This window comes from Homo sapiens, chromosome 2 (genome assembly GCF_000001405.40).
Source record: "Homo sapiens chromosome 2, GRCh38.p14 Primary Assembly".
Lineage (NCBI taxonomy): Eukaryota > Metazoa > Chordata > Mammalia > Primates > Hominidae > Homo > Homo sapiens.
In genome coordinates this window covers 220,801,826-220,818,665 of record NC_000002.12, presented here as the reverse complement: position 1 = coordinate 220,818,665, position 16,840 = coordinate 220,801,826, and the positions used below count along the sequence as shown (strand labels likewise).

Genomic DNA, 16,840 nt, shown 5'->3' with positions numbered 1-16,840 from the left:
CGAATCAATTTTAAAACTTAATATGGAAATAAAAAAGACCTATAAAAAGCCGAAACAGTCTTGAAAAATAAGGGGAGAAATGGAGGCTGTATACATTTGATTTCACAGCTTACCTTAAGTTGCAACAGTGGTATTGGCACATGGATGGACAAATAGATCAATGAAAGAAAATAGAATCCAGAAATAAATTCTCAAATATCAAGTCAATTGATTTTAAGTAAAGATTCAAGGCAATTTAATGGAGAAAGTTGTTTTTTTTTTTTTTTCACCTACAAATGGCACTGCATCAACTAGATAAATGACTGGAAAAGTATGTACATTGATCCCTACCTCACATCACACAAAATGTATTTGAAGTGTATCATAGACCTACATATAAAAGCTAATATTATAAAGCTTTTTGAAAATGTATTTATTATCTTATAGTAAGAAACAAATTTATTGGAAAATACAAAAATCCCTAACTATAAAAAATAGAAGTTATAAAGTGACTTCACCAAATTTAAATGACTTTCCTCATCAAAAACATAGTATTAAGAAAATATAAAAGACAAGCCCCAAACTGAGAGAAATATTTGAAATACATATACCTAACAGATTATTTATATTCAGAATGTATTTTTAGAAACTCTTAAAACTTAGTGATAACACGACTCAAGTTTAAAAATTGTACGACTTGAACAGAAGCTTTACAAAAGAAGAAATGTCTAACAAGCACATGAAAAGGGAAACTTCACTGACCACAGCAAACGTTGATGATGACATGGAACAATTGGAAGGATCAAACATTTCTGGTTACATCTGTAATCCCAGCATTTTGGGAGGTCTAGGTGAGCAGACCGCTTGAGCCCAAAAGTTCGAGACCAGCCTGGACAACATGGCAAGACACTGTCTCTACAAAAAATACAAAAATCAGCTGGGCGTGGTGGTGCATGCCTGTAGTCTCAGCTACTCAGGAGGCTGAGGTGGGAGGACTGCTTCAGCCAGGAAGGTTGAGGCTGTGGTGAGCTGAGATCACACCACTGTACTCCAGCCTGGGTGACATAGTGAGACCCTGTCTCAAACCAAACAAACGAAAAATACATTTCTGGTTAAAGTGTAAAATGTTACAATTATGTTGGAAAACTGGCAATTTCCTTTAAAGTTAAACATGCTCTTACCATACAATTCAACTATTCCCTTCTAGGTATATACCCAAGGGAAATAAAAACATATTCATAAAAAGTCCATTATTGAATATTTGTAGCAGCTTTATAAATTATAGCCAAAACAGGAAATAACACAAATTTTCAAAAACAAATACTATAGTGACATATTTATACAATGGAATACCACCCAAGTAATAAAAAAAAAATGAACATGAGAAGGAAAAAATGAATCTTGAGAATGTTACATTAGATGAAAGCAAAAGATGCTAGACACAAAAGAATATGAATTGTAGGAATCCCCCTTCATGAATTTCTAAGACAGGCCAAAAGAATCTGTGTTGATAGAAATCAGGGCAGAGTTTGCCCATGAGGGTTGGAAATCCACTGAAAGGAGCATGGGGAAACTTCGGCAATGGATAGAAGCTGCATCTTAAATGGGTTGCTGGTTCCTAAAGAAAAACTGCTCCTCTGTTCACACTTCTGGCACCAAATGTGAAAGTGTGGAAGTTGGTTTTGTTTTGTTTTCCAAACCAACCAACCAACTGGGTGTCCAACAATTCAGTTTAATTCTGACACTAATTCTACATAGAGTTAGAGCAAAGTCACAGATTAAGAACTCAGTCCTGGCCGGGCGCGGTGGCTCATGCCTGTAATCCCAGCACTTTGGAAGGCCGAGTCGGGCAGATCATGAGGTCAAGAGATCGAGAGCATCCTGGCCAAGAGAGTGAAACCCCATCTCTACTAAAAATACAAAAAATAGCTGGGCATGGTGGCGGGTGCCTGTAGTCCCAGCTACTCAGGAAACTGAGGCAGGAGAATTGCTTGAACCGGGAAGGTGGAGGTTGCAGTGAGCCGAGATTGTGCAACTGCACTCCAGCCTGGCAACAGAGCGAGACTCTGTCTCAAACAAACAAACAAAACCCACCTCAGTCCCACAAGATTGCCTCCCATTTCTGATGCTGATTGCAAGTAGTAGATTCCAGGGTGCCCACATTTCTGTCCAACTTGTCTACACATCAGTGGTTCCCACAACCTCCTCCTCAGTTTCAATAATTTACTGTAATTACTCACAAAACTGAAAGAAACATTTTACTTACGTTTTCTGGTTTATTATAAAGGATACATATAAATAGGCAGAGGAAGAGGTACATAGGGTGTGTTCTGGAAAGGTCTGGAGCACAGGAATATCTATCCCCGTGGAGCTGGAATGTACCACTCTGCTGTCATGTGGACACATTTACCAACCCAGAAATTCTCTGAACTCTAAACTTTATGGATTTTTTATGGAAGCTTCATGATGTAGGCATGTTCCATTATTAACTCAAATCAATCTCCAGCCCCTCTTCCTTTCTGGAGGGTGAGGATGAGGCTAAAATCTACTCCAAACCTTCAATCATGGCTTGGTCTTTCTGGTAACCCGACTATCCAGGAGTCCAGCTAGAGTCGTCAAATTAGAACAAAGGCTGCTTCTTCCACCCAAAAGTTCCAAAGGCTTTAGGAGCTCTTTGTAAGTCACTCCTATTTCTCCATCATTCAGGAAATTACAAGGGTTTTAGAAACTCTATATCAGGAACCGAGATAAAAGACCAAAGATACATGTTTTATTGTGACACATGTGAATACACTTGTGACACATGTGAATACACTTGTCAATATTCATGCAATTGTCCATTTAATTTCTGAGCATTGTACTATGTATATTTTGCCTTAATTGAAAACAAAAACAAAAAGCTATGGTTTCTTTGTAGTCAGAGATATTGTCTACCTTATCTTTTCTCTGAAATTTCAAAGATGACTACAGTGCTTGGTACATATTAAATACTCATTAAATACATATTGAATAAAGTGTTTTGTTAAAATAGGAAGGCAAGGCCTAATTCTTATCAGTGCACTGGATTCTGCTGAGAAATCTGATGATGTGGAAACCTTTTTAGAGTCTGTTTAGATGACTTCCTGCTTCCTGGTACTTTGGGTCCCCAACGTCCTCTTAGCTCTTGTCATGCCATTGAGCATCATGAGAATCAAATTTAAAGGAAACATGGGAAAGGCGGTTTAACTTTCAAATGAATGTAGATTTCACTAAATGGCACGTAAAAAGTTTATGACTAATGGCATTTATTTTGATTATTGACAAAGTAATTGGGATTCTTGAGGAATAATTAAACTGATTGAAAATGTTCTGATTGGTCAAGAGGTCAACATTTATAATTAATGGAAAATTACAATGGTTTACAAAATGACATTGTCCAGAATTAAAAGTGATCATCCTAATTATTGTGATGAGTTCTTAAATGAATGCCCAAGCAGCCAGTCATGACGAGGCCCTTATTATAAGTCATACATATGTATGTTTAAAAGAGATGTTTAAAATTTGGTCTAGTTTACATCAGTCTAATTTTTTGAGAGGCTTGATCTTCAAATATTACATTTTTATTTAGGAAGTACTTCTAGTCTTGATGGGATTTATTGCAAATAAAATCTAATAGAATATTTCATCAGCACTGAAGGCCTAGACTAAATGTCAGATTTTTATTACTTTGAATATTGATGGCATGTCCTATGAATTGTTTATCATGGGGATCAAGAATATCTCATTTATGATAATTTTAATTTTATTTTTCAAGAGACCTTTACACACCCATTATGCTATAACCTTATGCTTTAAATACAAAAACTGTAAAAACATCAATCTTACTTATGAAGAAGTTGAGACACAAAGGTTACCTAAGTTATCTAAAGTCGTAAAACTGCTTAACCACAAAAAACAGGAATAGGGCATGAATCTTCATGTGCCCCATTGAGAATTTTTTCCATCAGATCATGGTGTTTCTGTGGTAACGTAACTCCATGCCAAAACTAATTTCCGCAATTTCAGTGACTCTATAACTGAGATTCAAGTCATTTTGATTGAACATGTTTGTTTAAGTATGAGATGACTTTAATGATCACATCATTCTCAAACATTTTTGTTGAGAGTTATTGTACTTAATTTTGCTTCAGCATAATCATCCCAGGAATAAGAAAGATAAAAATGATATATCACCCAGACCCTGTCTAACTCTCCAGTTCCCGTTTCTCACAATTCCTTGCCTGATACTGTTGCTCCAAAAGGAAGCAACTACTTCTTGTAATTCTTAGTGCAAGCTCCCTGTTCTCTTAACGTGCTTGAATGCAGGTTTTCTACTATCTAGAAGGTACCTCTTTATTCTATACTCTATCTGTACCCCTTCATAGGTGCTGGAATGTTATTACTCTATACACATTTCTTCACATGACTAACTCCTGCCCTATAATGAGGGCACAATTCATAAACAAAGCTGTAATAACTATGAACCATTACAGGACAAACAATTCAGTATTTTAATTTACCTATACACACACACACACACACACACACACACACACATATTTATCAAGAGAAAAATGAAAGCAAAAAATGTAGCAAAATCACAATAGTAGTAGGAGGAGGTATTGACACACATCACCTTAAATAAGGTGAACCAAATAGGATAAGAACTATAGGATGTCTGAATATATATTAAGTGAATTTGAGTAGATGCTATTTACCATCTAAGGAAAATTAAAAGTAGGAAAAAAGTTCAATTAAAAATGTTTCAAGTTGGGACTACACTTTCTTGGTAAATGTGGACGTTAGGTTTGATTGAGACTTGTGGTAGTTGTTAGTGTTGGTTGCCAAATATTTCTCACTTTCTTCCTTTTGGAATATAGCTGGCTTGTGCTTCCCACTTCTTGCAGCTAGATGCGGCCATATGACTTACTTTGGCCTACAAAATACATTTCATTTTTGGGTGGACACTTGATGAGGCAGTGTATGTTTCCTCATGTTTCCTTTGTACTCCTTCGAAAATCATGGAAACCTGGAAATAGAGACATGCTACACACCCGTATCCCTGTATGGACCCTGATATGAGAAAATCAAACCGTTCTTAAGTCACCAAGATTGGGGGGTGAATGTGTTTCATGGGTTAGCCTTTATTTATCCTGATTTAAAGTAGAACTCTTCAGTAGTTACTGAAGTGAAATTAAGAGGAAGATGGTGGAAATGTTAACATTAATTAAGCAAAAAACATGTAAAGTTTGTTTTCCCTCAATGTTGCTTCTAATGCCTTTATAACCTGTATGAACATATATTAATTGTTCAATGAAATTAAACAAGATGGTACTTTGACCAACCAGAAGCATTGTTTCCATTTTCAGGGGAAAACATGCTCAGTATTCTTTTCTGATTGTGCACCTCTTCTTATGAGGAATATCTTATGGGTAGGAGAGTGGATGACCACGGTCCCTTTAGTTCTCCTCTACCACGTCTCAGAATGCTAGGTTGGTACAAAAGCAATTGAGGTTTTTGCAATTACTTTCAATGGCAAAAACCACAATTAGTTTTGCACAAACCTAATAGAATAAAACATGTGAGGTATGGAAAAGAGACCTGGATGAATTTGGTCGGCTTCACCATTGTTTGTATAGGGAGTATGTACAAATTGCTTCATGGCACTAGTCTCTGTGTCTTTTGCTTCCTTTCATTTTTTTGGCTTTTAATATTTTTTCTACCTCCTCCCCTCTAGGTGTTTGAAGAAAATGAGAATGAGAGATATTTCCTCAATAGATGAAACTATTGGCCCCAGCTCCAAATTCACACTTGTTGCAGCAGTTAATTCTGCAAAATCACAGAAGGAAAAAAAGTCAGGCCAAGGTAGGTGGACCACGAGGTCAAGAGATCAAGACCATCCTGGCCAACATGGTAAAATCCCATCTCTACTAAAAATACAAAAATTAGCTGGGCATGGTGGCACAAGCCTATAGTCTCAGCTACTCGGAAGGCTGAGGCAGGAGAATCGCTTGAACCCGGAAGGTGAAGGTTGCAGTGAGCTGAGACTGTGCCACTGCACTCCAGCCTGGTGACAGAGTGAGACTCTGTCTCAAAAAAAAAAAAAAAAAAAAAAAAAAAAAAAAAAAAAACTCAGGAAAACTCCTCTTCTTTTTTCTTTTTTTTTGTCCCAGGCTAAGCAGAAATGTACTGACTCATTTTGTGGTTATATGCATTATTATTCTCGTCTCAGGTCAGGACTGCTAGACTTAGAAAGAATTCTGATATGAATTGTGATATCATTGTCTAACAGAAAGTGTATTGGAAGTTGTTCACAATCTCCAGACACTTGGCAGGTCACAGAGAGAGGTGCAGAGAGCTGCCTTTTTTCTTTCTTTTGGGTTCAGGATTGCATTTCTGAAGTTTGTCCTTTACCATTTATTGTACACTGACTTTTGCTGTTAGATAACTGGTTTCCAAAATTAGTGTGTACACAAATTACCTGAGTCATTTATTAAACATTTCCTGGCCTCCCCCTAGGGCAATTTATTTGTAGATTTCAGGTGAATCCTAGTCATCAACAATTTAGCTAATACCACCCTTTCCCAGAGAGATCCTGAGATGGGTGATCTGAAAACACCTCATTTGAAACATTCTAGGTTAGTGAATTGAGTTTATTGTTTTACATATAAATTATTTTCACTATGCTTTATCATAGAGCTTGACCTGTTCCCAGAGGAAATCTATAGGCATAAAATGAACACATGTGTTCTCAACGGCTTTAATTAAAAGAGTGGCATGCATATTTCATTGCTATTAACAAAAACAAAATTGATTTGCTTTTCTAGATAATTGAATGTATGAAAATCTCAGTGCCTTCCTTCTGTAACTTAACTCTATAAATTCTGCATCATTTTCATTTTATAAGTGCTGGCATGTATTGTGAATTTCTTTACAGCAAGAAGAATGACTTAATGTTTTAGAGTTAGTTTTGTTTTTTTGTTTTGTCCCATTTTTTACCAAACATAAAATGGCCTAAAATGAGTGCACAATAAAAGTGTGACACCTTAAACTAAAGTAACATCAATCTTTTCCATAAAGTATTTTGTTCTGTGATGGCAGATACCACCATATGATTGAAACATTTCTAAGTGTGCCGTATATTAAAGACTGAGCCCCTTCTCCTAAATACACATATTTTTGAATGATGTATATAAAATATATTAAGGCAAAAGCAAATGGCAAACATAGGTCACTTTTTTTTTTTTTTTTTTTTTTTGCAGTTACAGTAGTTTCCAGACAGCCACTTCTGTTCCTGTTCCAAAAACTATGACTAACATTTGTCTGTCTGGATGGTATCATTAAATGAAAGGACTAATAGTCTCTATGATGCCACCTGAATTTCTTATCGTTGTTTATTTGTTCTCTCATGAAACATGCATCATATATTTACCACATGCTGATTATGTAGAAGATAAAAAGATGAAAAAGAGAACCCCAGAATGAATTTTCCCTCTCAGGATGGTATGACATTAAACAAAACTAATCACAATGCAAAAGAGTAAGTGCAGTACTCAGCTTTCAAGATGACCCTCAACGATTGCCCCCTGGTTTTTACCCCTTTGTGTAGTCCCCTCCTGTGCTGAATTGTGGCTGCCTGTGTTACCAATAAAATACCAACAAAATGACAGGGAGTGACTTCTGAGATTTAGTCATAAAAAATATTCTAGGTTCTGCCTTGCTCTTTCTTGAATCACCTGCTCTGGAGGAAGCCAGTTGCATGGGAAGACATCCAAGCAGCCATGGGTTGTGTAGAGAGAAACTGAGGCCTGCCATCAGTAGCCAGCATCAGCCTGCCAGCCATGCAAGGAGCCAGTGTGGAAGCCAATATTCCAGAGCCAGTCAAGCTGACTTCTTGACTGAAACTCCAGGAGAGACCCTGAAACAGAAGGACAAAACCACTCCTGAGTTCCTGACTGATAGAAACTGTGAGATGATAAATGTTTTTGTCATTTAAACTAGTAAGGTTTGGAGTAATGTTTTGCAGCAATAATTAATTAAATAGTAAAGAAAAAAATGCACTAAGAAAAATCCAAAGTGATATAGGGGTTATGAGGAAAGGTTTCATGGAAGACATAGCATTTGAGTGAAGCCTTGAAAAATAACAGGATTTAGAAATGCAGGGATGAGAAAGAAGCCCATTCCAGGTAGATGGAACAATGTGTGCAAAGCTACAGAGGTGACGATTTGCCAGGGATTAGGCAAACATCAAATAATCTTGTTTGATTGCAACATTAGTCCCTCTCATTTGCTCCAAGGTTGTCACTTTTGTGGTGCTGAGGCTAGATGTAGGACGATCTCTTGTTTGAAGCCAAAAAAGAGATAAACACATAAAGCTGAGCCTAAAATTTAGCAAAGTAAGCTCAGTAAGTCAGAGAAAGAGTCCAAATAGATCGCCTTCTATCTCTCTTATCCAAGAAATAAGCAAGCCTTGTATGCCACTCTTTTAAGAGATCTATTTGGACTCCTTAAGAAGGGTCCATGGGGCAGCCCGAGAAAAAGGGAGCAAGGAACTCAGAAATGGCATCTATTCAGAATGCAAATCTTATGGATGAGTTTCTCTCTAAATCTACATGTGACTTGATATATTTGGCAGACTAACTCCATTGAAAGATAACTCATTTTATAATATGGCATTTACACAAACATCAGAGAGGAATAGTAAAAGAAAGTAAAATTATAGTATAGGACAGTATTAATTATGAATATAGATACAAAAATCACAAAAACCAAATTCAGCATTATAGGTAAAACAAATAGGGTTTATTTGAGAAATATTGGGGTAGTTTAACCATGGAAAATCTGTATATGCAATTACATTAGCTGCTACAGAAAGAAAAACCTTTTGGAAAAGTTCAACATGCATTTATATTAAGAATTCTTAGAAAATCAGGAACAGAAAGAAACTTCTTTAACCTAAAGAACAATAGCTATACAAACTTTAGAAAACATACTTTTTGTAAAATAATAGAATTATTTATGGAATAAGACAGTGTATTAGCTAGGGGCAATGCTTGCTGTTAGCAGATAAATCTCACATTATCAGAATTTTAATGCAACCAGCAAAGTTGTTTCTGGTCAACAGGTAACACTGCCACGCCTAACTAAAAGAGGTTGAGAAATTTAGACTATTTGAAAATGTAGACTGAAATTTGGACCAGAAAGAAGAGAAAATGAGTTGGCTATTCACCTAGCAGTTACTGATTGAGTCTTTATTTTGTAGTTACCAAATACCTATTTCATTAAAACATATTAAATTAAATTAAACTCTTAAATTAAATTGTTCATTAAAACATCATGCATAAAGCATATCCACTCTTGCTCAGAGAAACATCCAAAGTCCTATCTTGTGGGAAATTCAGTTCAAAGTCAGCGTTCCAGGTGACATGCATTCCTCTGCATTAGGTCTGAATGGGGCTTTTTGTCATCCAGTGATTTATGAATCAAAAGGAAAATCATATACTCCCTCCCGTCCCCACCTCCACTATCATCATGGATAGTATAACTCCAAAAAACATATCCATTCACAAAAGTGACAATGGGAGCACATACCAGGAAGAAAGCCATCTAATTCTGTTGGGTGGGTATTATGAGTTCCCTCTGCCTGACATTGGAATCATTTTTTGGTTATATCTCAATTCTGCTCTTTGGGAGGAATTATCTTGTCCTCAGCACCCCTAGAGATTCCTTTTGCCCATCATTCTTTCTAAAATGTCTGAAATGGGTTAGGAAGTGTATAATCCTTGGGGGCTATATAGAAACTGGATCTTGCTTCCTGCTTATATAACTTTGGGGACTCAAGAATTGTATTAGAGCTCAAATGGTCAGAGATATTTTTTATGCCAGTCTTGCAATATCTTTCAATTTAGTTATCTCAAAAAAATAGCAGGGGGAAAATATGGCAGTCCCTTACAAATTTGAACATGTGTTTACCATATGACTTAGCCATTATACTCTACAGCACTAATGCCAGGGAAGTGAAAATATATGTTCATTCAAAAACCTGAAGGAAAATGTACGTAGTGGGTTTATTTGTAACAGCCCAAAACTAGAAATGACCCAAATATCCTTCAACAGAAGAATAATTAAACTCTGTGGTACCTCCACACCATGGAATACTACTCAGCAATCAAAATAGAAAAACTAGGGACACGTGCACAGAATAGATTGATTTTGTATTAGCTTCCTATTGCTTCTGTAATGACCACAAATACAGTGGCTTAAAACAGCACAAATTTCTTCTCTGACAGTTCTGGAGGTTGAAATTATAAAATCAACATTTTAGCTAGGCTAACTCCCTTCCAGAGGCTTCAGGGAAGAAGCTGTTTCCTTCCCCCTTTTCAGCTTCTAGAAGCTGCCTGCAATCATTGGCTCATGACCCTTTCCTTATATCACTCTAATTTCTTGCTTCCATTGTCACATCTCCTACTTTTCTTTAACCTTTTTTTTTTTTTTTTTTTGAGACAGAGTCGTGCTCTGTACCAGGCTGGAGTGCAGTGGCATAATCTCGGCTCACTGCAACCTCTGCCTTCCAGGTTCAAGCGATTCCCCTGCCTCAGCCTCCCTACTAGCTGGGAGTACAGGCACTCGCCATCACACTCAGCTAATTATTTATATTTTAGTAGAGACGGGGTTTCACCATGTTGGTCAGGATGGCCTTGATCTCCTGACCTCGTGATCTGCCCACCTCGGCCTCCCAAAGTGCTGGGATTACAGGCGGAAGCCACTGCGCTGGGCCTATCTCCCTCTTAAAAGGGCCGTTGGGATTATTTTAAGTCCACCTGGAGAGCCCAGGATGCTCTTCTCATCTCAAAGTCCTTAATCACAGCAATGATATCTCTTTTGCTGTATTTTCTATATTCATAGTTTCAGAGAATAAAAACGTGGACATCTTTTGAGGTGGGGAAGCATTATGCTGTCTACCATAGATCAAAGCAATTAGGCTGAATGAAAAAAAGCCATCCTCAAATGTTATCTAGTCATGACTCCATTTATACAGCAAAATACCTGTTTGTTAACAAAAAAGACAAAACTCAAAAATGTAGCTCAGATCTGCTAAATGGATTTTAGGTTTAGGCAAATTCAACCACCTTGCCACAGGTAATCCCAGCAAGAAGTTGCAGATACAAACTTGAGCTTTCTGCAGTCAGATTCATTCCCCAGAGAAAGGCAGGAGAAACTGAGCTCCACATTCCAAGGTTTTCCAATCTGCTAATTACTCCACCTCTCAAGATACATTAGTGCGTTATGCCAACTGGGTGCCCCTTGCATGAAAAGAAATAAAAGATATAGGGAAGAACTATTCCTTTTAACAATTGTATTGTTTAATTTTGTTTAGGCTTAGCAGTGCATGAGACTCTTATACTTTTTGAAGGTTGTACATATTTCACAATAAAATTAAAATTCGAAATAATCAAGAGAAGGCCCTAAGACTGTAAGAAGTACGTTCATTGTGGAGGGCTTTCATGACAATTCTAAATTTGGGACTTTTGAGGGTATAAAATGGAAAGCAATTGAGACTTTGTAATCGAGGAAGTAACAAGTTCAGAGCTGCATTGGGAGATGACTGCAATGACTGTATAAGATAAGGATGAATACCGAGGGTGTATAACAAGATCAGCGAGAAGAGGATTGCCATTGTTCCACCTGGACCAGGTTAGTGACCACAGGGAGGGGAAGCAGGGAGACTTAGGAGTATATTGTGATATACTAGGGAAGAGTATCTCAGTGTTAGGAAATGTCAGCTTTGTAAGTTTTTATCAAGCAGCTCCTGGTATAGTGTATGGGTTCAGTAAGACATGGAAACAGATTAGTTGTATGAAGAAGGGGGCATTAAAGATGAGGTTAAGATTTAATGGTATGGGGAATGTTGGGATCATTAATATGAAGAAATTAGGAGGAGGGGTGTTAGTGAATAGGAGCACCAATGGTGAGTTTTTGACAGTCTTTGCCAGCTTAAGTTTGTATCTAGCCACATAGCGAGATGAGGCATTAACTTATAATAAAGATAAATCAAAAGCTCCCCATGTTCCATGAATATCTATTCTCATATCCCGGCTGTTTAAGACTTTCACCAAAATTTCTTGTTTATCCTTCATATAGATCTCGCATATTTTTCAGGATTAATTTTACTCCTACATATGGTAATAGTTTCTATTGAGATGATAAATGAAATCTTCGTATCCATTATAAAATGATAAGTAGTTATTACAAGTCTTTAGGAAAGCTCTCATTTTTTGTGTGTTTCACATGAATCAGTGTTCTGCTCTATTGCTCTGAGTATGGCTGGCACAGAAAGAGTTAAGTTGGGGAGGAAAGCTCTTGGTTTCTATGTTTTTTGTAAAATGGCATTCTGTTCTATTGCTGTAAGAGCCTAGCGGGAGAAAAACAAGCAGGGCCAGGGTGCAACAGCGGCTGGACAGGGAGAAAGCAGCAGTCAAGGAGCATTCAGGGCACAAGGTAAGAGGTTCACATTGCTTTTTTGTTTGTTTTCTTAACGTTCACCATTCTTTTCTTATACTCTATTAGTAATGAGAAAACACTAATATATAAGTGTATCTGAAGCTTTCAGGAATGGAAATGGATTTTCTATGACTATCAGTCTCTGAAAACAAGCATGGATAGGCTGGTGTATGACCCTTGAGACCTGTGATGATGGGAGTGATCCCCTTCTTGATGGGTCCTCAGTAAATCCAACACCCTGCAGACACAGTATGCTATTTTTACAGGAAAGGTGTCCCAATCCAGACCCCAAAAGAGCGTTCGTGGATCTTGTGCAAGAAAGAATTTGAGGCTAATCCAGAGAATAAAGTGAAAGCAAGTTTATTAAGAAAGTAAAGAAATAATTCATAGGCAGAGCAGAAGCATGGGCCTCTGATTGCCCCTTTTTATGATTATTTCTTGATTATATGCTAAACAAGGGGTGGGTGGATTTTCCATGAATTTCCTGGAAAAAACACGGGTAATTCCAGAGCTGAGGGTTCCTCCACTTTTTAGACCACATGGGGTAATCTCTGGACGTTGCCATGACATTTGTAAACTGTCCTGGCGCTGATGGGAGTGTACCAGTGAGGATGACCAGAGGTCACTCCCATCACCATTTTGGTTTTGATGGGTTTTAGCTGGTTTCTTTACTCCAATCTGTTTTATCAGCAAGGTCTTCATGACCTGTATCTTGTACCGACCTCCTATCTCATCCTATGACTTAGAATGCCTAACTATCTGGGACTGCAGCCCAGTAGGTCTCAGCCTTATTTTACCCAGCATCTGTTCAAGATGGAGTTGCTCTGGTTCAAATGCCTCTGACACTATGAGGGTGCTTTGGCAGGAATTATCTTTGGACCACTTTGGCTTTGATCTCCCAGGGAGTGATCATGTCATAGAAATGGAAGTAAGCATGTATTTTGTCTCTCCAACTGAACTGTTCAGAAACAGTTAATAATTTCATAATAATATTACTAGTAATTGTAGCAGCAGTATGTGGTTAATCGAGGTTCCATGTGCATTTCTTTCACGGTGTCTTAATTTTCACATGAAGTCCATGTTTCAGGGGTTGTTATGCCTGCTTTACAGATGAACAAATTGAAATGTTAAATAACCTAAATAACCTTGCCTAAGAGCTTATGAGAGTGTTGGGGCTGGGATGAGAACCTGGTCTTACCTGAATTCAGCACTCAGGTGCCAAAACACTGTGAGAAATAGAGGTAGTTTATTTCTTAAATGATAAAATCATTTAAATGTTCCCAGTATCATACCTAGCATTTAATAGAGACTCAGTACATTTTAGTTCTCTCTTTCTCTCTTTGAAACAACTAACAAAACAAACAAAAACTTGCCACAGTTCCAAATTAGAGGGATATGTGAAACTCAAAGGCATAGTAAAATAATGGACTTTAGGAATTTAGGAGCTCCAGATGACAACCAAGAAGTCTAGGGGTGAGGGCTCCTCCAGAGTAGCCCAGAAGAGCTATGCTAGACACGTCCAAGGCAAGGAAGGAGAGGGCAGGAAGAGGCCGTGAGGGAGGCAGTGACCACCAAGAGGGGAAATGGGCAGAGAGATAATCCAGATAACCAGAATAACCAAAGAACACATTAGAAGAGCTAATGTCTATTATTCAAGACTAAGTTGTCTCCAATTCTGAAGTATCAGAATGTCTCCTCACTGTACCCTGACATCATTATGAACACTCAAATTTTGAGTAAAAATTTGCCACCTACAAAGACCCTGGGCAGCTAGAGTTTTTCCTAAAGGCTGAAGGAGGATGGGTGGCCCACCCATGCAGTTAAAGGTACTGAAGACAAACAATGTCCAGTAACAGCAGGAAGCAGGCTGCTCTCTTGGCCATTCTGCAGTAGACACAGATGAGCCTTCCTTTCCCATCGAACTAGAAGGTGACCCTTTATGTCAGAGTAAAATAAACCCAACCCTGCTGGTTCTGTGAAAGGAGACTTCTAGGGGGCAGGTCTATACAATTGTTCCCATGCTGTCTTGTCCTCATGCCTAACCAGGGACCACTACTAGGGGCAGGCACCATACATGCTTGGACAACTAACAGGGATTGGTTTCCAGCAGCCTTGAGGGAGATTGGGTAAAATGTTTTGTCAAGATGAATCCCCCTGGAATCATGAACGCGATGACACACCATCTCTAAATGGCTGTTTCCCGCATGTAATGTCAGGTTTTTCTTTTCTCTTTTCCCCTAATCCTCTAGGACTGTCCGTAAGTGGAAGCATCTACTGAGGCTTAGACGAATATAACCATGAATATCAATAAGATCCTTGATCCTTCTCAGCATAGGTGAGTGTGCTGGGGCCATTTCCCAGCTCTTTGAGAGATGAGGGGCTATTACGCCCTTGCACTTTTTAACCTCCTATTCTGTAGAGACAGCAATCACACACTGCCATAATTCCATTAGTTAATGAATACTCTGAGAACTTGTCCATCATAAAGATACACTTAAAAGTTAATCAATTATCTCTTTTCTTAATGTTTTCTCCCGTTTCTTATACCTTCTCATTTAATGAAACCATACTGGAAATATTTGATTAATTCTTGAATTTAAGATTTTCATGTGCTTGTACAGATAGGTTGAGAAAGGAAAAAAGTATTTCTGATTTTTCCCCTGTTTTTGCTCCATATTCCCATTTCAAATTCTTGGGTAGTGTGGTCTAGTGGGGAAATTGCAAATTTGAGATGAGCAGTTCACCTCTGCCCCATGGCAAGCTGATGATTTTTTTTTTTTTTTTTTTTTTTTTTGAGATGGAGTCTCACTCTGTCACCCAGTCTGAAGGCAGTGGGACAGGATCTCCACTCACTGTAACCTTCACCTGCTGGGTTCAAGCAGTTCGCCTGTCTCAGCCTTCCTAGTAGCTAGGATAACAGGGGTGCACCACCATGCCCAGCTAGTTTTTTTGTATTTTTAGTAAAGACGAGGTTTCGCCATATTGGCCAGTCTGGTCTAGAACTCCTGAACCTCGAGTGATCCGCCCGCCTGGGCCTCCCAAAGTGCTGGGATTACAGACGTGAGCCACCACACCTGGCCAGGCTGATGACTTTTGTGCTCTTCTTTGCTGAGCCTAGACTCGGCTTCAGAACCCTAATCAATTCAGGAAACCAGGCAAACATTAGCAATCAATCAGTTCCCAAAGGTAGATGTAATTAGCCAATTTCCATCTAATAGGAGGAAACCCTAAATTAGGACTGGGATATCAAACTCATTTCTTTCAGTAGCTAGCTGTGACTTTAGGCAAATTACTTAACTTCCCTTTGCCTGTATCCCTCCTGATCTTTACCTGGAGAGACTTCAGTAGCATTATGTCATATGAGCATTTGACTTTGCAAATTCAACTATACATATTCAGCAAATAACAGCAGCACTGATAGTTTTCCTACCACAAAGCCCCAAATGCATATAAACTACATCTTCTGGTACGCAACCAAAAAAAAAAAAAGTAATCTTTTTCAATGCAGTAGGAAAACTGGTTACATTGCCCTCATAAGGAAGACAAAATAAACACAAAATCATTTGTGCTACATTTTATGAGCTTTTAAAGAGATTTTTGAAGGGCAATTTTAATTCTACACAATTTTTGCCTGATGTGCTGATTTTAGATTTAATCTCATTTAAGTAATGAATGCACTCTAGTAAATGTCAGAGCTAATGAGTGGCTGTGAGGTTAAGTGAACAAGAGGGGTGATAGCACTTTTGAAAGTTAAAAAAAAAAGTGCTACCCAAATATATGGCGATAGTGTGATGATGGAGGTGGTGATAATAAGAAAGACACCCTGGGCACCCTGAGTGTCAAGAGAACATTAACATTTTGCTAATGAGACATTATCATCTGTGGTCACCAGCTTATATAGTTTGGATATTTGTCCCACTCAAATCTCATATTGAATTGTAATCCCTAATATTGGAGGTGGGGCCTGGTGGGAGGTGACTGGATCATGGTGGTGGATATCTCATAAGTAAATTTCACTATCCACATGGTGCTCTCTTCACGATAGTGAGTTCTCACTAGATCTGGCTGTTTAAAAGTGTGTGGCACCGGCCAGGCACGGTGGCTCACGCCTGTAATCCCAACACTTTGGGAGGCCCAGGTCGGGGGATCACAAGGTCAGGAGATCGAGACCATCCTGGCTAACACGGTGAAACCCTGTCTCTACTAAAAAATACAAAAAATTAGCCGGGCGTGGTGTCATGCGCCTGTAGTCCCAGCTACTCGGGAGGCTGAGGCAGTCAAATCACTTGAACCCTGGAGGCCAAGGCTGCAGTGAGCTGAGATCACGCCACTGCACTCCAGC

At 38.4% G+C, this 16,840-nt stretch overlaps 1 long non-coding RNA gene across 4 annotated transcripts in view; it reads right to left on the bottom strand.

The window, feature by feature from the left end:
• The window catches only part of LOC105373896 (uncharacterized), an 86,007-nt gene that overhangs the window by 7,626 nt on the left and 61,541 nt on the right, over positions 1-16,840 (bottom strand). For 2 of the 4 annotated variants that reach the window (XR_001739890.2, XR_001739892.1), the window contains one exon: positions 7,832-7,915. The exons of the other annotated variants lie outside the window; for them this stretch is intronic. This is a non-coding gene — a long non-coding RNA (uncharacterized LOC105373896). Of the gene's footprint in view, positions 1-7,831; positions 7,916-16,840 lie in introns of those variants that run through there. 4 annotated transcript variants of the gene reach the window in all.